The 23,216-nt window shown below is 36.0% G+C and overlaps 1 long non-coding RNA gene across 2 annotated transcripts in view, besides 1 other annotated feature; it reads left to right on the forward strand.

The window, feature by feature from the left end:
• The window catches only part of LOC102723879 (uncharacterized), a 78,954-nt gene that overhangs the window by 51,016 nt on the left and 4,722 nt on the right, over positions 1–23,216 (forward strand). The window contains exons 2-3 of one of the 2 annotated variants that reach the window (XR_428991.3): positions 5,790–5,861; positions 8,027–8,118. This is a non-coding gene — a long non-coding RNA (uncharacterized LOC102723879). Of the gene's footprint in view, positions 1–5,789; positions 5,862–6,410; positions 6,761–8,026; positions 8,119–23,216 lie in introns of those variants that run through there. The other variant, XR_001748077.2, reaches the window with a different exon arrangement.
• Positions 7,156–8,355: an enhancer, noted in NCBI's record as "BRD4-independent group 4 enhancer chr11:104208910-104210109 (GRCh37/hg19 assembly coordinates)". NCBI's record gives its function as "activates an origin of replication core promoter dependent on BRD2, P300/CBP, MED14 and CDK7 cofactors, and independent of BRD4, by STARR-seq in HCT116 cells {active_cell/tissue: HCT116}" and the evidence as "EXISTENCE:reporter gene assay evidence [ECO:0000049][PMID:35650434]".

Consider the following 23,216-nt stretch of genomic DNA (forward strand, 5'->3'; position numbering starts at 1 on the left):
ATTTTTGAGCCACTCCTAAAGTCATGTGGTCATTAACTTTGGAGGCTATTTTGCCTATGAGTGTTGATACAAATTAAAACCCAAGTAGACTTCATTGCATGTCACCCTATGAATGTTCACAATGGAAAAAATACCTTGTCTGTAGTATACTCTCATTCTTGCATTGAAAAGCTGAGGAAGAAACTTATTATTTACTTATTTATTTATTTATTTATTGATGTAAGTCAGAAAAACTTATAGCTAATGTGCCCAGTTTTCTGGTTGCCCTCAGCAGGTGAAGTGAACAAATAGTGTCAATTGAGATTGAAGAGATTATCTGAATCCTGGTTTTTGTAGATTTACAGTCTACATACAATATTAACTAAATCAAATAGCTTTTACGATTTCGCATGTTTACATAGCCTCCCTCCCAGCCCCTTCCATATCCATTAGTTATTGAACTTTCTAAACTGGCATTGAAAAATATTACAACAATGTTTTTGTTTTGTTTTGTTTTGTTTTGTTTTGTTTTGTTTTGAGATGGAGTCTCGCTCTGTTGCCCAGGCTGGAACGCAGTGGCAAGATCTCCACTCACTGCAATCTCCACCTCCCGGGTTCACGCCCTTCTACAACAATGTTTTGTTGCCCCAATTTTATAAACTTATGCAGTGCAATAAATGTTATTTGTCTGAGGCAAACCAAAGGTAAATTTCTCAAAGTTCTTGCTGCTTTCTTTAGCAGAATTTGATGTAGGATCTTTTATGGATTTGTAATAGATTAAAAACAAACAAACAAAAAAACACATTGCAATCCTTTTTTTCAAATCAAGTTTTTGGTCCAAATTGTGTAGGATAAGTTAAACTTGCATTCTATTAGCCAATATGAGTATATTTCTGTAAGCATAGTTACAATGAAATAAAGTTTTAAAAAGCAAAACAAACAAAAAAACATGCATACTGCATTTTCTCCATATGTGGAATTTGGAATAAAACTTGTATTTATTAATTTCCAAATTTAAGAATTGATTAAGATATTCTTTTGGGTGAATCTCATTGACAATGTTAATTATAAAATGGTAACAGAATGAGCAGCTTAACTTTTCACAGAAGTACATTTATTTCTGTATTACTAGAACTGGTCACATTTTCCAGCAGCAGGAAATTCAGCACTATCTTTTTGAGGGTCTTCTCCTTTTCTTCAGGGACTCAGAATCTTATTCAGACTATGAAGAACCAGGGTCTAACTACGTTCACATTACTGGCTCTTTCCTTGAGCAGAGGAGAGCTGTTGAAGCCTAGCGCCCCCTAGGCTGACAGATGATGCATGCCCATTGTTGTGCGGCTTTGCCGCTGGTCAAGCTTCCCTCCCAGGGACCAGTTGTTTCAGGGTAGATGAGCCCATCCTCTCACTTTAAGTGTGGCCAGATGTGTTGCATGCTTGATTTCCTAAAATTATAGTAATTCACACTCACTTATTTTAGTGTTGAATGCCACTTCTGGTCCCAAGAAAGCCATGTGAGCCTTGCCTCTATTATCTGCTACCTCTAAAATCCAGATACACTGTCTTCTGCTCCTCCTTAGGAATACACACAAGAAGTCATGTAGGTCTTTATTTTATACCCTGAAAATGCAAAGCCCTTGTAGTGGAACTATTCACTCGTTGGCTTGAAATACTTCAAGGATAAGTATTGTTGGGTTGGCGTGGGGTGGGTGTGTTATATATCTTTGTTTCTACTGGAAGCTGTCCTTGAAAAAATTAATGACTGATGGCCTACCTCTTTTTTTTTTTTTTTTTGACAACATCTTGCTCTGTCATCCAGGCTGAAATGCAGTGGTGTCATCATTTCAGCCCCCCGAGTGGCTGAGACTACAGTCATGTGCCATCATGCCCAGCTAATTTTTTAAAATATATTTTTTGTAGAGATAGGGTCTCACTGTGTTGCCCAGGCTGTTCTCAAACTACTGGAATCAAGTGAGCCTTCCTCCTCGGCCTCTCAAAGTGCTGGGATTATAGGTGTGAGCCACTACACCTGGCCTAATTTTCTACTTTTGACTAAATTGTGGTGTGGTTGTAAACTTCCAAGTACTAAAGAAAATGAAAGAAAAAGGAAACACTTTTTAAAGGAAAAAAAATTTTAAAGAAAAAAGGGGTACCTGCTATGGAATGGTTCCAGTCACAATGTTCCATAGAAGTTACGCCACAGGGGTGAATATATTCTCAGAAGATGTAGCTGAAAATTAGACCAGGGTTGGGATGTTGATCAAGATGACAAGGGAGGGTAAATATAGGTGGCTGCTCTTTCTTTATTTATGAAAAAAATGATTCTTATAACCTATGTGTAAAAATTCTGTGTTCTGTTAACCCATTAAGATATATGTTTTAGCTGTAAAATTCCAGGCAGTACAAGACTTATACACATCACATACAGAAATAAAAGATGATGGGCCAGGTGCGGTGGCTCATGCCTGTAATCCCAGCACTTTGGGAAGCTGAGGCAGGTGGATCACATGAGGTCAGGAGTTCGAGACCAGCCTGGCCAACATGGTGAAACCCCGTCTCTACTAAAAATACAAAATTAGCTGGGCATGGTGGTGCGTGCCTGTAGTCCCAGCTACCCGGGAGGCTGAGACAGAAGAATCATTGGAACCCAGGAGGCAGAGGTTGCAGTGAGCCAAGATTGTGCCACTGCGCTCCAACCTGGGTGACAGAGTGAGACTCCATCTCAAAGGAAAAGATGATGGTTAAAAAAAGAAAATCAGAATTCCCTGGAAGCCATCAGGGAAGTGCCAAAATGTATTTCCACCTTGACTGCCTTTGTGTTATACTTTGTCAACATCAGGTCACCTTGAAGTGGCTGTGAGCATATTGAGATCCAGCTACTGGAAGCTGAATTTGGAATACACTCAGGTTTGGTTTAGTTGAGGTATTTTAATGTGGTTAATACTGAATATCTACATTTAATTAAGTTATACTTAATGGACTTCTATTACCGGCCATGACAGAGTTACAAGGTGTATTCATCCATTCTCACATGTTTATAAAGATACTTCCCCAGACTGGATAGTATCTTAATTTATAAAGGAAAGAGGTTAGTTGACTCACAGTTCTGCATGGCTGAGGAGGCCTCTGGGAACTAACAATCATGGCGGAAGTGGAAGCAGGCAGGTCCCCCTGGTGGCAGGAGAGAGAAGCGAGTGAAGGAGGAACTTGCCAAACAATTATAAAACCACCAGATCTCATGAGAACTCACTATCATGAAAACAGCAGGGGGTAAACCTCTCCCATGATCCAATCACCTCCCACCAGGTTCCTCCCTCAACACATGGGGTTTACAATTCAAGATGAGATTTGGGTGGGGACGCAAGGCTAAACCATATCACAAAGACCAGACTTATCCTTCTGGCATAACCAAATAATAAGCCAGACAAAATATATCAAACAACAATTTTCAGAGACTGTACAACAGGCAGGATAATGATTCTTGATAGAAGGAAAAGAAACAAGGTAAGCACTACAATTACCAAGGTTAATACTGGGGAGAGTTTCCAGACTGCTGTACAAGGAGGGATAATGCAAATAAAGGTCAGCATTATGCCTGAGTGGAAAACAGCTCAGAGAGAACATAGGAAGAGAATTGGTAAGAGCTGCATAGGTAGGAGAGGACTTTGAGATCTGCAAAGTCTTCAGCTGAGTATCAATCAGCAAGTGTTAGATAAAGAGTAGTGACCACCCAAGGGTTGAGAAACAGCAACCTGAAAAATAAGTGGAACAATCCCTGGAGCTCACACAAGGACAGGAGTAGTTTGCGTTCCCATCACAAAGTGAAAACAAACAAAAAAAACTTTTAACATACAGGGCATTGAGTAGTGTAATTAAAAGGTCTCAGTAATGCAGCAAAATTAGCCTTGGGATAAAGGCTGTTGTGGTTTAGCCTAACAAGTTTTGAAAGAAATTCTTGAAAAATCAAAGGGTTTCCACATAACTTAATTGTATTCCATAACAAAACTACTCAAGAATATTTAAAGAAATACAGAAATTGTTCAGGATCCAATAAGGTAAAATTAATAATATCTGGCATCCAATTAAAAAATACTAGGCATGCAAAAAGATAGAAAAATATGTAAATAATACGGAAATCAAGAAATAACACAGATAAAATAATTAGTTGACAGGCATATTAAAACAATTATAAATATATTCCAGCTATTCAAGAAGTTAGAAGAAAACATGAATGTGTTAAAGAGAGTCCTGGATGATTTTTAAAACAGTCAACAGATTAGTGAGTGTCAAGGCTTAACAACTGATATGATTCAAATTAAAACAGAAAATCAGAAAAAAATAAAAAAGGACAATACCTCATTGAGCTGCAGGACAACCTCAAGCAGCCTAATGTATACCACTGAAGTCTGTGAAGAATAAGCCCAGAAGAAAATAGATGAAGAAATAATAGCTAAATAATTTATAAATTTGATTCACAGTATAATTTCACAGTAGGGCAAAGAAGCCTGAGCACAAGAAAAATGAAGGACATCATTAACAAATTACTCTAAACCAGTGACTAAGAGAAAATCCTAAAAGCAGTTAGAAGCAAGAAGGCATTGCATAGTGTATAGATATATACAAATAAGAATAATAATAAACACTCATACCAGAAGTGTAGAGGTGGCAGCAGGGAAAAAAGTTTTTGAAACATGTTCCAGATGCTGGCCTATGGAAAATTCTCCCAATCCTCAAATGGGTAAAATATAAGTGGAGTATGAACAATACAAACTAGAACTCATGCTGAAAGAGGGAGGGAAATAAAACCCTCTCAACCCAGAACTTTTTATCCAGTAAACATATCTTTTAAAAATAAAGGTAAAATAAAGACATTTTCAGAGATCCAAAGGTAATAGCAGCAGCAAATTTGCACTATGAGAAATGTTAAGAGAAATTCTTTAGGAAGAAAGAAAATATATCAGATGGAAATTTGCATCTACATACGAAAAATGAAGACCAGTAGAAATGGTAAATCTATTTGTTAATAGGTTTTCTGTTGTAGGAAGACCTTCCACCCTGATGCTACATCTGTTTTCATCACAAGAAAGTGAAGGGTCAGGCGCTGTATCAGGACATGAATATGTTGCATGACACTCGGTACCAGAAGTTTATAGGCAGTGGGAGACAAACTAGGATTAAACATTTGTGTGCTGGAAGCTGCCTAAGGAAATTTTTGCCAGTCATCAGATGTGTAAAATATAAGTGAAGAGTTTAATTTTCATTGACAACTACTAATACTAAAAATTTTCTACTTTGAGTCATGTACTTGACATAGAAGTATTAAAATTATAAATTTAACATGCTTTTTAATGGGCAGTTTTTAAAACACAATTCAGAATTATGTTTGTAGGGTACAAACTGGTAGCAATTTTCTAAATATCTGGTGTACCTTCATGTGAATCTGCTAATTTTATTTTTTCAATCACATTGAATTGCATCTTAGCATATTTGACACATTGACACTTTTTTTTTCTGATGAAATCTGGTACTTCTAGTCAATGGGAGCATGCAAATCACCATCAATAAACTTAAATTATCTGAAGAAGCAAGAGTTCTAGTAAGAAAACTACACATACTCATCAATAAATCAATGTATGTAGTGTAAGAGTAATTTGATTACGTATTGTATAATTCAATACAACATAGAAGGAACTTAAAATGCTTTTGAATTACTCTCATGTAAGCCTTAATTTCATATTAACTTTCTAAATTATCAATAATTGAAAACAAACTAGAGAAAACCCTGAATTATCTTTCTACTTTCCCTGTAGAAAATGTTACAATGTCATTGCTACATGAAGAGAAGATCAAGAGAATTCAGCCAGAAGACTGTAGAAACAAAGGTATATTATGAAAAGTAATCAGGCAATTAATACAAATACTATGTTATTTCCTAATATGTATGATGATATATCTGTTGGCTTTTAAAAATCAGTAATTTATTTTCTTTTCTAAATGTACATTTATGTTTATACTTCATTTTTTGTGATTTTATTTATTTTTTCTAAAACTCCACTGCAACTGGAAAATCAGCCCCACAAAACCTGAATCTTTGTATTATGGTGCAGGGCTGGAAGACATTAAGCTTTGGTACTGTGTATCCCTAGATGTTTTTAAATGCAGACTTTATTTCATATTTTGCTCTCAATGGGGGTTTTATTTTTTCTGTTCTTTAGGTAATTAAATTGGGGACACTATCACGTAACCTATATCCAAAAGAAAGGTAGAGAAGGAAATAATTATCTGGTACAGAAAGAAAAAATGAATCAGTTAGAGATGCTGAGTCTTATTTGACTGAATAGTAATTATTGAATGATCTGATTTAATGCCTACATACTCAGGAACAAAAGCAGAAATCTGTGACCCAATGTCTATTTTTATTTCCCCGCCAGTCATGAATCATGCTGTCCTTGGATAACCCGGTGTCACCCAGAATCTCTGTATCCCTTGGAAATGTAGACTTTCTCCAACCGCCTCTCCCTCCTTGGTGGCTTCTCTGCCTGGACAGACTTGTCTTTGTATTAGTAGTGTCACTTTACCTCCTACTACTCAGGAACAGACCAGCCAGTCCCATGACAAATTTCCACAAAATGCCATGTATCTTGTAAATTTAATGAATCACTTTGGGAAAAGGTGGGACACAGAGAGCTTAATGTAAAAAAACCCATTTTTTTGGTCAGAGTGCTGAAAAAAATAGAACTTCTTTAACAGGTTCTGAGTAGAAACATAGCTCAATGAAGAAATAAAAGCACCTACTGTTTGAAAGTCCTGCTGTTAAAGTCTTACTTTTCTTCATTACACCGGGCATAGTGGGAAGAAATCTGCTTCTGTTTCACTCAGGGATATTGTTCTGGAATCACAGCTTTTCAGACAGGCTTCCTGTGGATTACCATGAGGCTAGCCCTAAATGTTTATAAGGGACTCCCTTGCCTATTTCTCCCCTTGTATCCATCTTCATTGTGATTTCCTCCTAGGTCATAATTTGGCTCAAGGTCCTGATTAGTTTCAAGTGGGTAAAATGACCTATTATCAGATATGAATCGAGGGGAAACAGAAGAAGGGCCTGTTTGGTTGGCTCTGCAGTTCAGAGCAATGGAAGACTTTCTTTCTGTGGTATCCAGGAGTTTGGCAGTGACTTGGGGAAGTAATTGGGTGGGAGAAAGTAAAATTTTTGCTGGGCTGAGGTAATAACTTCCAAAAAGAAAAAACTGTACAATTTGATGGTGATACTTTTCTACCTTCCACAAACACAATAAGCACTCTAAAATGTTGACTTTTATCTTTTTCTGTGTAAAAATATTGTGTGTGAAAATGTTTGTGGTTATGATGTAACATAGAAAGAAGGTACAACAGGACTTGTCCAGGGCTTGCCTTTCTCATCGAGTTTGGGACAAGTCTAAACTCCTGAAATGTACTATGTCTGAACCAAACTAACATATTAGTGGGTAAGTGCCATTTCTCATCCTAATACTTTCTGATAAGCCACTTCTAAGGACCCAAAGAGAGCATATTTCAGGAGTTGAGAGCATATTTCAGGAGTTGAAGCTATTGCACAGGGCATGTTCTGTGATATATAAGTTGTGCATGCATTCCTCGTTTAAATAAAAAAGTACAGGCTGGGTGCAGTGGCTCACACCTGTAATCCTAGCACTTTGGGAGGCTGAGGTGGGTGGACCACGAGGTCAGGAGATCGAGACCATCCTGACTAACTTGGTGAAACCCCATCTCTACTAAAAATACAAAAAAAAAAAAAAATTACCCGGGCATCGTGGCAGGCGTCTGTAGTCCTAGCTACTCGGGAGGCTGAGGCAGGAGAATGGCATGAACCCAGGAGGCGGAGGTTGCAGTGAGCTGAGATCATGCCATTGCACTCCAGCCTGGGCAACTGAGCAAGACTCTGTCTCAAAAATAAATAAATAAATAAAAATAAAATAAAAATGAAAAGTACATTTACAGAGTAGACTAGTAATAATGATGTTCTTTTTTGTTTCTGTTTTGATTTTATCAGATATAACAGTTTTGGATTATTGCTTGCTCTTGAAATGTGTTGTTTCAAAGGAACACATTATTTTGGACATGCAATCAGATGAAACATTAAAGGTGAGAGGTGAACCCGGCTGGGCTTCTGGGTCGCTGGGGAACTTGGAGAACTTTTTTGTCTGGCTAAAGGATTGTAAACATACCAATCAGCCCTCTGTGTCTAGCTAAACATTTATAAATGCACCAATTAGCACTCTGTAAAAATGCACCAATCAGCGTGCTGTGTCTAGCTAAAGGTTTGTAAACACACCAATCAGCACTCTGTAAAAACGGACCAATCAGCACTCTGTAAAATAGACCAATCAGTGCTCTGTAAAACAGACCAATCAGCAGGATGTGGATGGGGCCAAATAAGGGAATAAAAGCTGGCCACCTGAATCAGCAGCGCATCTCCCTTGGGTAGTCTTTCAGGGTGTGGCGGTTTTGTTCTTTCGTTTTTCATAATAAATCTTGCTGCTGCTCACTCTTTGGATCTGCACTACCTTTATGAGCTGTAACACTCACTGCTAGGGTCTGTAGCTTCATTACTGAAGTCAGTGAGACCACAAACCCACCCGGGAGGAACAGACAACTCCAGAGGCGCCACCTTTAAGAGCTGTAACACTCACTGTGAAGGTCTGCGGCCTCACTCCTGAAGTCAGCCAGACCACGAACCCACCAGGAGGAACAGACAACTCCAGATGTGCCACCTTTAAGAGCTGTAACACTCACTGCGAAGGTCTGCGGCTTTACTCCTGAAGTCAAGCGAGACCACAAACCCACCGGAAGGAAGAAATGCGGGACACATCTGAACATCTGAAGGAACAAACTCTGGGACACATCGTCTTGAACTGTAACACTCACCACGAGGGTCCATGGCTTCATTCTTGAAGTCAGCGAGGCCAAGAACCCACCGGAAGGATCCAATTCCGGACACAAAGGGATGATGATTGTATTTTGTATTTTGTTTATCTGGAGCCAGCAGTTTATGTAGGTGGAATCATACAGCTGAATAGATTAATTTGCTTATCATTTATGTAAGTAGGATCATTTTTTCAAACAACTTCTGATGTTCATTATTAACTGAGTGTCATTTAGGGAATAAAGCAGCCCTTGGTCAGGTGAAAAAAGAACCAGGAGAAAAGACAATTCTCATGTGGTTTATGTGAATTTCTAGTTCTTATATTAGTAAATCAATTTATTTAGTGTGGTTTTAAATTAACATTGTATCACATTTACTACATACTCTCCTCTTGACCCCTCCCATCTCAACCTACATGGATTGAATAGTACAGGGGTGTCTGACTTGGGTTACTCAACCTATGGACGTGGATACCTATATCATAGATGTGATTTTTAAGGAAGAGAAGCAGTCTTGTTTACCAAAAATTTTCTTCATCATCTGCTTACCTTGGTGCCAGAAATTACTGAAATGATGTAGGAGGTTTGAACATATATTTATTTCAAAGGAAAATATCCACTATTAGCAGTTTATTAGAATAGCCAGAAGAAACTAGAATGACTGTATACATTCAAAACTCAGTATCTTACCTCTGTGTATTAAGGAGGAGATTGGGACAGATTCTCTGCTTTTAAAAAGGTCATGATTTAGTCTCTAGATCCAACCTTACACACACGTGGGCTCTTTCTCCTGATTAAATTCCTTTCTATCAGTACTGTCTGTCTTTGGCTTTCATTACCCTAATCCATCTGACTTTGGCTCCTGCCTTGGCTCAGTTTTGCCAAATAAATCTAATTTCCTCTGTCCTGAAAGTCAATTCTCCAAGAGCATTTTAACTTGTTCTCTGGCCTTGGTTTTGATGACTTGTCTTTCTTTTCTGCAATCTCACGGAGAAAAAAAAAATAAAAACTATAGCAAGGACCATTTTATTTCACACTTTCTGGAGTTTTACAGGATTGCTAAGGCCATGAGAAGTGGAAGGAGAAATAGTGATTCAGAAGTAGGGAAAATGCATGGTTTGAGGAGCAATATTGGCACATAGAGAAAGAGTATTAATCCTATCTATCTCCCAACCAGGTTGGGAATAACTTCACAGTGTGGCTGATGACCTATACAGGCATATGTAATGTCTTGGGAGCAACAGGTTGGGAGGTAGATAGGAATCCAGGACACATTTTGTTAATTTTGATTGTTACCAGGTACAAACCCACTGCTAAGTGGATATGAACCTGCACAATAACAACTCTTCCATGTGTTAAGCTGATAGCAAATGGACATGCTGCTCATGTCTAGGAGATTACCAGAGGGTTCACCAAAGATTTCTAACCAGTAGATTAAACCTGCAGGTAAATCATGCAGCTTCACCTGGACTACTTGTAAGTCAGTCACCAGCATAGGTGACCAATTCAACTTTACTGAGATGCTCTAACCTTTCTCAGGTCACTCCTCCCTCACTGGTGGCTCTGGGCTTTGGGAGGCTTTGCCATGTATCCAGAGTCTTTATAATTTTGAAGCAAGTATGAGAGTCTTCTTGTTCTCTCCTTGTCTCAGCTCAAGTCTTTTCACTTTTGTGAGGGCCTTGACCTTGTTTTAGGTACAATTAGGAGCTTTCTCCTGTTTGTTCCCAAGACATTATATATGCCTGTATAGGTCTCCAGCCACACTGTGCAGTTCGTCTTTGTTTACATAAGGGGCCCCACTCCCACCACACTACAGAATGCTTTATTCATCTCTGTACCCCCAAATCCTGCCTGGCCCAATAGCCTGGTGAAATGCAAGTGCTCAATAATATGTACTGATTAAATTATTTACAACAGTGATCTGGGTTTGTATATTTTCCCAAAGCTTTTACGGTAAACATGTAACTTACTTAGTTGTACTGCTTTTCTTTAAAAATGTTTTATATTAAAATGTGGAGGTGACTAAAATTGGCTTCAAAACACATTTTAATTCCTGTCTCATGTTTGGAACTTGATACTACAGTGCTGCTTCTTTGTTGGTGTTCGTTTTCATAGTAGAGAAAGCTTACCTCAGAAACTAAAGAGAAACTCATGGAGTAACACCTTATCTTTTGGAATTATTCATCAGAATATTCTGAAAAAAATTTTACATCTACACTATAACTTTTTCAACTACAATCATAATCATTGTTAGTTGTATGAACAAATGATGGGAAGAGAAAGCAACTTTTTTTATTGATTTCTGCAGTTAACTTTATGATTTTCATGTGACAAGGTATGTTATTTTGACTTAGTTTAGAATGGGAACTGCATCTATTCTTTAGCTTCCTGAATACAGTCACCTTTTGGTTATAATTCTGATTGCTCTGGGCTTTATCACACTTAAAAATGGAGTTTGCAATTAATGCCTTAAATATAGTTATACTAATAGAGATTAACTAAACAAAATAAGGATCCTGAGCAGCTGCCTGAACTTGCATGCTTTACAATGGCAAATTCTTCTAAGTTATTGTATTGATTTAATTTGCATTCAAATTGCTCAGGATTTTGCTGGTGTATTTTCACTTGAATGATTTGCTATCAAGTGAGGAATGAATAAGTGACACGTACAGACTCAAATGTAGAGTTTAATTTTAAAATTTCTACAGGTTTTAATTGAGCCGTATTAATAACAAAATAAAAAAATACAGGAGCAAGTGGGAGTTTAGCATTACTTCTTAAATAAATCCTAGAAAATGTCATGGCTTGGGATTTGTTTTATGAAGTTAATTTTATTTAGCATAAGGACTCGTGTTATACTTGAGCAGATTTGATTCTTCATTTCAATTATAAATTTTTTAATTGGAAAATAATTGTTATGAAGTTATCATTTAAATCAGAACTAGTTGGTTTTGATCATATTTATTGATTAAATTATTTGTAAGAGTGGTCTGGCCTTGTATAATATTTTCGCAAAGCCTTTATGGTAGACATTTAGCTCATTTAGTAATACTACTATTCTTTAAAGGTGTTTTATATTTGCCACCGAATGCAAAAATTGTCATTAAATGGTCATTTTATAACCTGTAGTATATATATAATTTGTGATATATTTATTATTCTAACCATCTGAATACTTAATATATAAGTAGAAAAAACCTTTCATTATCTTTTTGGGCAGTCTTGTCAAAATTAAACCTACCCTGGGGTCTACAGAAAACTTTAAGGCAGTAATATTTCCTGTGTCCTCTGGCACAACATTATGCCAAATCCCATCCATGTAGCAATTGCTTCTGGCTTTTCTGGGATAAGAGATTACAAGTTCTCTCCAGCAAATACATTTGCTTATGGATTCATTAGATTGTATTCACTCTAAGGTAAACTCTGTCTGGAGTTGGGTTTGTGTTCACAAGTGAAGTGGACAATGGGCTTATCCTCTCAGGAAACTACTATGTCATTTAGCTACTGTTCAGGCAATATACTGGAGAAAAATGTCTCTATTTTATGATGTGGCAGATGGCAATAGGCACAGTGGTAACTATTTAACAGGTGTTCAAATATTTTATAAATGAATAAAGGGAGAAAACATGAATAAATGAAGAAGTAGAGAGGCACAGTGGAAATGTACTGGGTCCCTGACCGTGTGTGGAAAAATGCAAATTAACCTTTTCTCTCTTCTCCAAACATGTTAAGATTAAAGGGGGAGAAATGAGGATTTTAAATGGTTAACAGTTAAAAAGAAGCAATACAATCACAAAAGTAAGTGTTGTTTAGTTGGACCCATACTGTGCCTGAAATTACACACTTAATTCTCAGAGACCTCTGTGGTAGCCACTGGTATTGCAATTTTGCTGTATTTTTTACCACTTAAGTGATTTTCTTTCCTGGTTCCTGTTGTATTCTTGTTAGGACTGGAGTCACATCCACACCTGTCAGACAGGCACACTCCTAGAGCACTGTTTTTCTTCTTCAGTGCAGCACCTGGAGCAATATAATTTGACTTGTTAATCATAATTAATATACTCCTAGGAGAATGCTGCTTTTGAATTGATCCATTCTCTGGTCCTTCTGACCACTTCAGAATTGGAGGGAAATATTAAAATCTTCTCTGAAAGGGGAGAACAGAATAAGCAGTTACTTGGATGAACCCTGAGACAAAATGGAAGTTTCAAGAAATGACTGTGTTCAAAGAATGTATGAGGGCAGTGTGGTCTCAAGGTTCACAAAATTATAAGCACAGCATAAGTAAGCATGACATTTTGAATCACAGATATAAGTTGAACTCAGTCTTTCTAGGATTAAAAAAACTTGAGAGACACAAAGGTTTATTATATATTTTATGAATTCCTTAAAAATCTCAGAACTGTCACATAAGTTATCATTCTGAAGTAGTTCCGAAATCATTGGACAACAGTGAGAATTTGAAAAGAAAATACGTTTTCAGTATTTTGTGTATAAATGTGCAGAATTTATCAGTGGTCACATTGAATCATTTTATGTACAGATAGAATAAGTATTTCTTAATACATGGAAAATTCATTGATTCTGGCAACAAGTGCAAAGCTTTGGTCAATATATATGTAAGTTACACAAATTTAAATACTAGAACAGAATACCATGCAATGGACAAAAATTAATTGTCTTCAGAAAAGAAGTCCTACTCAACCTTTTGCAAATAATTAACATTCCCTTTCAACTAAAACACACACTTTTGTATTTATTATATGGCATTTTAGGTATTACATCTAATTTTCATTACAAGTCTATACTATTGGAAAAACTTTCTTTGAAAATGAAGAAAGTGAAGGTCAGTAACTAGGTAATGTGCCTGAGATTGCAGAACTGGTAAGTGTCAGAGCATCGTTTCCAATTTACATCTTCCTCACTCTAAAGCCCATACTCTTCCAACTGAATGACATTAAACTAATTTTTATTTTTTTAAAAGTTTTTACTTATTAAAAAAATTTTTTTGAGATGGGGCCTCACTCTATTGCCCAGGCTGAAGTGTAATGGCACAATCATGGCTCACTGCAGCCTCGATCTCCCAGGCCCAAGTGATCCTCTTACCTCAGTCTTCTGAGTAGCTGGGAGCACAGGTGTGTGCCACCATGCCTGGATAATTTTTTTGTTACTTGTAAATACAAATTCTGGCTATGCTGCCCAGACTGGTCTTGAGCTCCTGGACTCAAGCAATCCTCCTGCCTTGGCATCCCAAAGTGCTGGGATTACAGGCATGAGCCAGTGTGCCCAGCCAAGCTAAGTTTTAGATGTAATTCTATAAAACATAATAAATTTAGTAATGATTTTGAAGATAAAGTCTCTAAAGTGATGTTACATTTGTGCTTGTGTGTTTATTGGTGTGCCCTCTGCTATCAAATCTATATTTAAAAGAGAAGTAGATTTGTAAGGCAAAAGAAACATTTTAGGTCTTTATAATTTATATATCATGGCAGAGAAATAGAGAACTTGATTTAATTGATACAAATATCTTCCCTTTCTATTAACTATTTATAAAACAGGAATGATTATTACAAATACTGAATAAAATTTGTTGAATTAAAAGAAGCCTTGGGAAGAAATGAGAAGTAGGTGAGAGACCAAATGGAAGAGAATCTAGAAAGCTGCGAATCATAAGAGGATATGGGAGCATGTGGTGGAGGGCAAGGTGGGAGATAGTGGCGTTGAGAGTATTGGATGCGTTAAGTACTAATGTGGGTTAGAAATTTTCTGGGAAACAGGAAGCTTTGTTTAGAAGGTGTGGCTACCAATTATTGGACTATATTCCTATAATTTTATTTTAAAAATATTTCTCTAAAATCACATAAAAATGACATGTATGGCTTTTTAGGAACAAGAAATATTCCAGAGAGGTTATTTGCTTTTTGCTTGCATCTCAAGAATAAAACTACTCAAGTGATTGGAGAAGTGGAGCTGGTGGGAGTGGAAAGAGAAGCTAGTGCTTCAGGAGGAACTCCAAAGGTTAGCTGGGAAGCTTCCTCAGCCAGGAAAAGTGAGTTCTTACTGTAAATTGTCTCTCATATCTCCCCAGTAAAGAACACCATGCATTCCTTCCCACCTAAACTAATTGTTCTACAAGCTAAATTGATTTTCTTAAAAGAACCTCTGATTCATGGAAGTCCTCTGCTCAAGAAACTCCAATGATTTCTATTATATATTGAACAAAGGTAAAGAGGGAGATTAGATTTATTGAACTTCTAGATACAACATAATCCCACTTAACCTTCAGCAAAACTCTATGAAGTAGATAAGATTGTCTCTCTGGAGGAGAAACCTGAGCTTTCATAAAAGCAAGCAATTTAGAGGGTTATATCTCCCTGCCAGAGGGAACCTCTGTGAAGACAGATCATGTCTGTCTTGTTCACATTGTATGTTCAGCAACTATTATGTCTGGCAGATTTTCTGGACATATTTGTTGAATGAATGAATTACACAAAACTGAACTTATACCCTTTCTATTAGTCCATACTATGTTTCTTGAGTTTCATATTCCCACTTAGCAATAGTTTACTTATCTCTGTATACAAAATTATATAAGCAAGATTGGAATAATGTTTGACTGTTTGTTTCCTGAAGAGCCTCTGAGATCTGGCCCCATCTATTGTTTTTACTCAAACCATAGAGATGCACTTTGTTCACAAATGTTTTTACATAGATCAACAAGTTCTACGCTGTGTTTTCTGCAACATCTAGCATGTCCTATTTTGATATATTTAAATTAACGTGGAGACTTAAAGCCACATATGAAGCGATCCAAATTCGGAATCACTCTGGATTTTTACAATTTCCACCCTTTTTAAATATTAATAGTTGTTCTGCCTAACTAATTCAATGTCCATTATAGCCATGATTTACTTTTACGGAATCTTGGCAAAGTATGTAACTTAGCACGCGAAAATGATAAAAATGATAACTACCTTTCTTTCTGGATTCATGTCATCATTTTTTCATTACAACAACACACAGGCTATTTTAAAGAGTTGTGCATATAGGAACAAATGCAACTGACACGTGGTAAGCATATATCCCAGGTAGAAAGAACAGAAGTGATTGGGTATACTAGAGTATTGCTTCTCAAATTTTAACGTGCATAAGAGATAAAATTCACATTCTGATTTAGTAGGCCTAGATTTGTGGCCTGAACGTCGGCATTTTTAACAAGCTTTCAGTTGTGGCTGCTGCTGCAGATCCTTGGATCACAATTTGAAGAGCAAGATTTCTGTTAATAACCACATCTTTTCACTATGTTACAAACATCAATAGTTATGTTTTCAGAGAAAAGAGACTTAGCTTGTTAAGTGTAGGTCAGGTTAAGGGAATTTTACTTCTATAATTATAAGCTCGATCCTAGGGTATGAATGTTTGTGTTTCCCCACTGGCCTAAATGCATAAGTTGAAATCTTAACTTTCCAGGTGATGGTATTAGAAGGTGAGATCTTTGGAAAGTGATTAGATCGTGAGGGTGAAGCCCTCATGATCGGGATTACTGCCTATGCAATCTCACCATATTATAAGAGCTGGCTAGTTTCTTCCACCAAATGAGGACAGAGCAAGAAGGAAGGCATTGTCTATGAACCAGAAAGCAGAGCTCACCAGACATTGAACCTGCTGGTGCCTTGATCTTGACCTTCTCAACCTCTAGAATTGTGTGAAACAAATTTCTGTTGTTTATAAACTGCCCAGTTTACGGCCTTTTGCTATAGCAGCAGAATCAGACTAAGACACTTGGTAAGCAACTACAGAGCACAGAATGTGATATGGTTTGTCTGTGTCCCCACCACCAGACCTCATCTTGTAGTTCCCATAATCCCCATGTGTCATGAGAGGGACCCAATGGTAGGTAATTGAATCATGGCGGCCACTGCACCCATGCTGTTCTCCTGAGACTGAGTGAGTTCTCATAGATCTGATGGTTTTTTAAGGGGATCTTCTCTCCTTTGCTTGGCACTTCCCCTTCCTCCCGCCCTGAGAAACATGTGTTTGCTTCTGATTCCACCATAATTGTAAGTTTCCTGAGGCCTCCCTAGCCCCGAAGAACTGTGAGTCAATTAAACCTCTTTCCTTTATAAATTCCCAGTCTGGGATATGTCTTTATTAGCAGTATGAGAACGGACTAATACAGAATGTCTCTCACCTTTGTTACATGCTGAGTGCACAGCAAAGGCACTACAAAATGTGTGGCAAATCTACCAGATGTAGCCATAAACCTCATCAATGTTATCAGTAATATATGACCCAGGATTGGTGGTAGCTAAGTGTCTATGAAAGCAGCTTTAGTTCAGCATTTGAATGTCCAAGGATATTAGCAAGGTGACAACACCGTTTCTTTCAAAGAATGCAGTTTAGAACCTAGGACAACATACAGAAAATAAAAACATAATGTGAACAAAAGAAATTATGGCATAACTTATTAATTTATTTTTATTGCAATAACATGCTACATATTGCCTAACTCTAATTGTATTTTCAGAGAAATTATAGTGCTTCTAAAGCTTGGGTCATCAAGCTGTGTTGCTCATGGCTTCATTTTATTCTTGGGATTATAATATCTTCCAGTAAATTTTTTTACTAATACAAGCAATCATTTGCCTAATGAGTGTTTGGAATTTTCCAGCAAACAGATGTGAGCACTGAAAAATGTGAACACTGTTTTAGGGAAGGCAATGCATCTTGAAGGACCCATTAATTTGTGAGCAGGAAAGAATGTAAAATGAGTAGCAACAGTGATGTCTATACTCATGTGAATAGATTTGAGGGTTCTAATAAAACATATTTGGTTTTACATATCCTTAATAAGGTATAATAATAATGCCAGTGATTATTGTAATGGTTGTGGAGCAGAATGGTGTAGTAGAAAGTATAATAACTAAGGAAGTAAAAGACCTAAATTTCAGTTCCAGACTTGTGGCTCTGTAATAGGGATATACCATTTACTGTCTCTTGGCCTCTGTATTCTCATTTGCTCAAAGAAAGGGAATAACTTGAAGGTGTCTTTCACTTGTGATTGTGTGACTCTGTGTGACCTATGACAAACTCTATGCCTACTGTTGTGAGAAGCATACTGTCAATGATATATGTACATGTATTTGTAAAAGTTTTTCATAAAGATATTCCACTTCTTTTAAAATTTGCTTTATACATTATCCTGACATTAGCTTTTATTGAAAGGAGAGGTATAAAAGATGTGTTAGACATCATCCTTCCTTCCCTCGGCAAACACAGCATATTCTTCGCACTGAGGAAGTTATGTGAAGGCACAAACAAAAATGTAAAAAAGTTCACATATGAGAAGTGTTTAATAAATAATCCTGATGATAGCGCAGTCAGAATTTAAATGCAGGCTGCTTGGTTTTTGTTAAGGTGGTTGGGGAATGTTGGTACAAAAGTCTTAAGTTCTGTTCCAAGCCCTAAAAGTTGTGAAGGAATTTCATGTACAGAGAGGGGAGGGAAGACAACTTAAGTAGAGAAATAATATACTTTTGAGGTCTATTTAGGAAAGAAATTTTTACATATATTTTCTCAGCCACATTGTCTCCTTCAATTTCCCTACACTTTATCCCCTTTTGTTTTGCTAAATCTCACTTTCATCTTTAAGGCCCAGATATAAATTATTTTCTTTCTAAAGCCTCTCCTAAGCTCCAGACCACAGCTTCCCAGAGTATGCTTCTTCAAAAACTGCTCTGTTCAATGAAATTGGTATCACATAGGAAAAATAGCCATGGTGTTGTAAGGATTTTTTTATGTACACAGTGAAATCATTAAAAAAATAAAATAACAGTTATATTGTAGAAAATAACATTGAATCTTGATGTAAAATCTTCAAGAAAAGAGGGACAGTTGCCCCCAGGATCAGTAGATGACTCAACTAAGGAGGGTTAGTCTCATGACAGGTGATTCAAACTGGAAGTATTTAGGGAGGACAGAAGGGCACCCTTAACCATCTACAGGTTCAAGGGTAAAAGGATGCATTCTTTGGCCATGCCAATCCAGAACAAAGGGAAACCTACCCTAACTGAGGACCAGAGGTATGTGGGGTGTGGGAAAGCAAACAGTCAATATATGAGAGACCCTAAGGAAGGAGAACCATCAGGTGACAGATGGGGTTGAATTAATCCACTAAGATGAATGAAATTGTAGAGAAGAGACTGAGAATATAAGGGATCTTGCTGATGATTGACTAGAAGACCCAAGGAAAGGGACCGCAGATGTTCATAAGTACTTTACAGAGTTAGAAAAGGCATGTACAGAGTCACGTGGGTTTGACAATGTGGAAGTTATAGATGACTTGGATTTGTACAGTTTTACTTAGTTGTGAGAATAGAAACTTAGTTGGAGGAAAATGAAAAACACTGGGAAATAAGAAACAGAGATAAAATTACTGTGGTGAGTACTTTGCTATGGAAAGGCACAGAGAAATGAATCGTTATCTCAGAACAGACATGAAGTATTATTTTTTTTCACCTGGCAGGGTATATCTGCAGCCTGATAAAAATTATCTTGACAAAGATCATTATCTTGAGAAAGATAACACATTATGTGGAAGACAGAATCAATGATAAGAGACAGTTTTTTGAGTGTATGAGGAAAACTGGACTCTTAAAGCTAAAGTATATGAATTAGCCTGTGATTGAACTGGTGGCACTCTATTTTAATGGTTTATATACAGTTTTTATTTAATTCCAACAAAAACCTAGTGATGTGGGCACATTTATGATCCACATCTTACAGATGAGGAAACTGATCTATGGAAGGATTAAGCAATTATTAAGCAGTTTACTTATAAAACCACTGAAACTTATACTTTAGAAGAGGACAATGAACTGAAGAAAAAACAAAAATTCCTAAACTGAGGTAGAGACTGTGGAGTAAATGCATCAGGGATACTGTTAACTTCTTTCTGGAAAGAGACAGAAGTTGTGGATTGTTAGAATTTTTTTCTTTCAACCAATTCAAACTTAAATATGCTTTACTTTGCTATTATAGCTAAAAATATTCTTATAATTCTACAGTTTGTTAATTACTTACAAAATCAAATTTGTCTGCAAGGGTTGAAATTTGAGATCACAGGAGATTTCAAAAAAATGTAAAATAGACTCAAATGATTTTAATAAGAAGAGGTAGAAATGACTTGGTCTACATCAGCATCTTTATAATAAATGTGTATTACGATATTACATTGAAGGAATCAAGCATTACACTTTTTTATGTTATGATATACTTTCCAAAATCTAAGTCATTTTGTTTTCTATCCATATCTCTGAAAGTCTTACGGATTCTAATCTAGTGATGTATTAATCTGTAAGGTATCTGAGAACTGGAGTGATGTCTATATTTTATATTGTTTTATTATTAGCCTTTACTATAATGCTGCATTTTAGGTAACCAATATATATTTACTGAATTACAAAATAATGCATATTCCTTTTAATAAGAAATCTGTAGTTTTGTAATGGCTTCAGCTTTAGGGTGCTTTCTGGGAATTACCTATCTTTTCATTTTGTCTCAAGGAATCATACATACTACTAAATGCATAAAATTCATCTAAGAGCAACATTAAGTGCTTATTAATGATATTTAAAAACTTGTATTGACATAATTTCCATGTAATAGGAATTCTTTCATTTCAAAACAAAGTTCAAAATTAAAGCCCTGTGACATGCATATAAAAAATGTTTCTGTGTTTGGTAGGCTTCATTTCTGTTTAGATCCTACTGGAAAAAAAATGGACACAAGAATTTATTTGCTCATTTACTCACTCATCATTCACTCACATAAAGATGTGACCTAGGAAAACAATGAATTAATTTTGAAGTAATCAAAACCAAACCATTTCTATGATTAAAGGCATATACATAAGAAAGCAAAGAATTATTCATTTGCCTATACCATTATTTCTGACCACAGAGAATGCAATGATCGTAAAATTTAAATGAAATTTTGTATGAACATATATTAGGATAAAATATGTATAATAATATAAAAAATCTCAAATAGATTCATGCACTGCATAAAAATGTTTCAGTTAATGATGGATTGTGTAGAAAACATTGGTCCCATAAGATTATATTACCATGTTTTTACTGTACCTTTTCTAGTTTAGATACGCAAATACTTACCACTGTGTTACGATTGCCTGTAGTATCCAGTACAGAACATGGTGTACAGGTTTGTAGTTTAGGAGGAATAGGCTATACCTTATAGCCTAGGTGTGTAGTAGGAGATAACATCTAGGATTGTGTAAAACACTCTATGATGTTTACACAGTGATGAAATCGCCCAACTGTGTATTTCTCAGAACGTATCCTTATTCAATGATGCATGACTGTACTTTCCATAGTATTCAAATTGTTATTTTGCTTAGGGAAGTGCAGACATTACATGAAACTCAAACTTGTACAATAGAACACTTAAATGGACCTTGAATGTACATACTTGAAATAATGTGAAAATTCTAAAGATAAGGAAAATATTCAATATTAACCTTCTTTTGGAAATATTTGAATCATCCTTCTTAAATTGCTTCTAATTAGACAAAATATTTACAGGTTAATTTTAAGGAATGTATTTTTTCATCGAGTGTTGACTATTCTGAAACACAAATAAAATGTTTTTACTGCATTTTGGAATTATAAAGGCTATGGTTACACAAAGTCAGGTGAATCAATTAATCAAATTGCCAACTTTTTTTTATAGCATTCAGTCCAAAATTACTCAGTTAAGTGTAGACAATAGAACATTGTTTAGCTGATCTTATTAGCCATAAACTAAAGCTGACGTTACAAAAAACTCCCCTGCAATAATTTTTTCATGTTTTATAGACACAACGTTTGCTTTATATGTTACAATATAAATTCAATGTGTCATGGCTGTAGAAGTTTCAGTAAAATGGATACAGAAATCTCAGTTAAAGGAATACTGGTTTTAATTAATTTTCCTACTCATCTCAGAATAATTCACGTTTGGGAAGAGCTAGATTACATAAGAGAATTTTTATTATTGGATTATTGGCTTAAGAATGCATTTTTGAGCCAGGTGCAGTAGCTCATGACTAAAATCCCAGCACTTTGGGAGGCCAAGGCAGAATGATGATTTGAGGCCAGGCATTCAAGACCAACCTGGGCAACATAGTGAGACCTTGTCGCTATAAAAAATTTAAAAGAAAATGTAGCCAGGCCTAGTGGTACACACCTGTAGTTCTGGCTACTCAGGAGGCTGGGATGGGAGGATTGCATTGCTTGATCCCAAGAGTTTGAGGTTAAAGTGGGCCATGATTGTGCCACTGCACTCTAGCCGGGCAAAAAAAAAAAACTTTGGATTTTGTATTTTTAAACTAATATGATCATCATCCCCATATGTGAAGATTGTTTAGTCCATTTGCTCTTGATGCCATTATTGATGTTACTGGATTTGCATCTGCCTTTTACTTTGCTTTCTTCATATCTCGTTTTTGTTCTTTATTTCACTTCCATTTTCTTATTCTCTATTAAATGAATATTTTCTATCTATTCTTTTGATACTTTTAATTATATATTTTTTAGTTACTTCTAGGTGGTTGATCTAGAGGTCTCACAATATCACAATTGGCTTCAGATTTTGCATTCCCTTAGTTCCAATTAAAATAAAAGTTTAATCCTATGTTGCTCCCTTCCTGCAATTCTTTTTTATGTTAATATTGTTATACATATGTATGTTATTTAATCAATGATACGTTATTTATTTATTTGATATAATCTCTTTTTAAAAAGCTCAGAGAAAAAATAGAGAAAGACCATATTTACAGAGTTTTTTTTATATCAACCTTATTTTCCATTTATAGTTTTCTTAATTTTGGCTTGTGTATAATAATTATCATCTTGTGCCATTTCCTTTTTCCAAAAAAGTTTTGCTCCCACCCAGCTCTTTTGTTTTGTTACCATCAAGTATATAACTTTTCTATCTGTTATAGGCCCAATAATACAAGTACATACATATTGTTTTACACAATTCCTTTTAAAATAAGATAGGGTCTGGCTCTGTCATGCAATGGATAGCACATTGGACTTCTGAAATAAGATAGGAAGAAGAAATATTCCTTTATATTGATTTTTGTAATTACTTACATAAATTACCATTATTTGTATTCTTTTTTTTTTTCCATGTGGATTCAAGTTACTTTCAGTGTCATTGCTTTCAGCCTAAAGAACTTTCATTAGTATTTTTTGGAAATTAGAAGGGCTACCAATACATTCTCTGTTTTTGTTTATCTAGGAATGTCATTATTT

Source organism: Homo sapiens, chromosome 11 (genome assembly GCF_000001405.40).
Source record: "Homo sapiens chromosome 11, GRCh38.p14 Primary Assembly".
In the NCBI taxonomy this organism is placed as follows: Eukaryota; Metazoa; Chordata; class Mammalia; order Primates; family Hominidae; genus Homo; species Homo sapiens.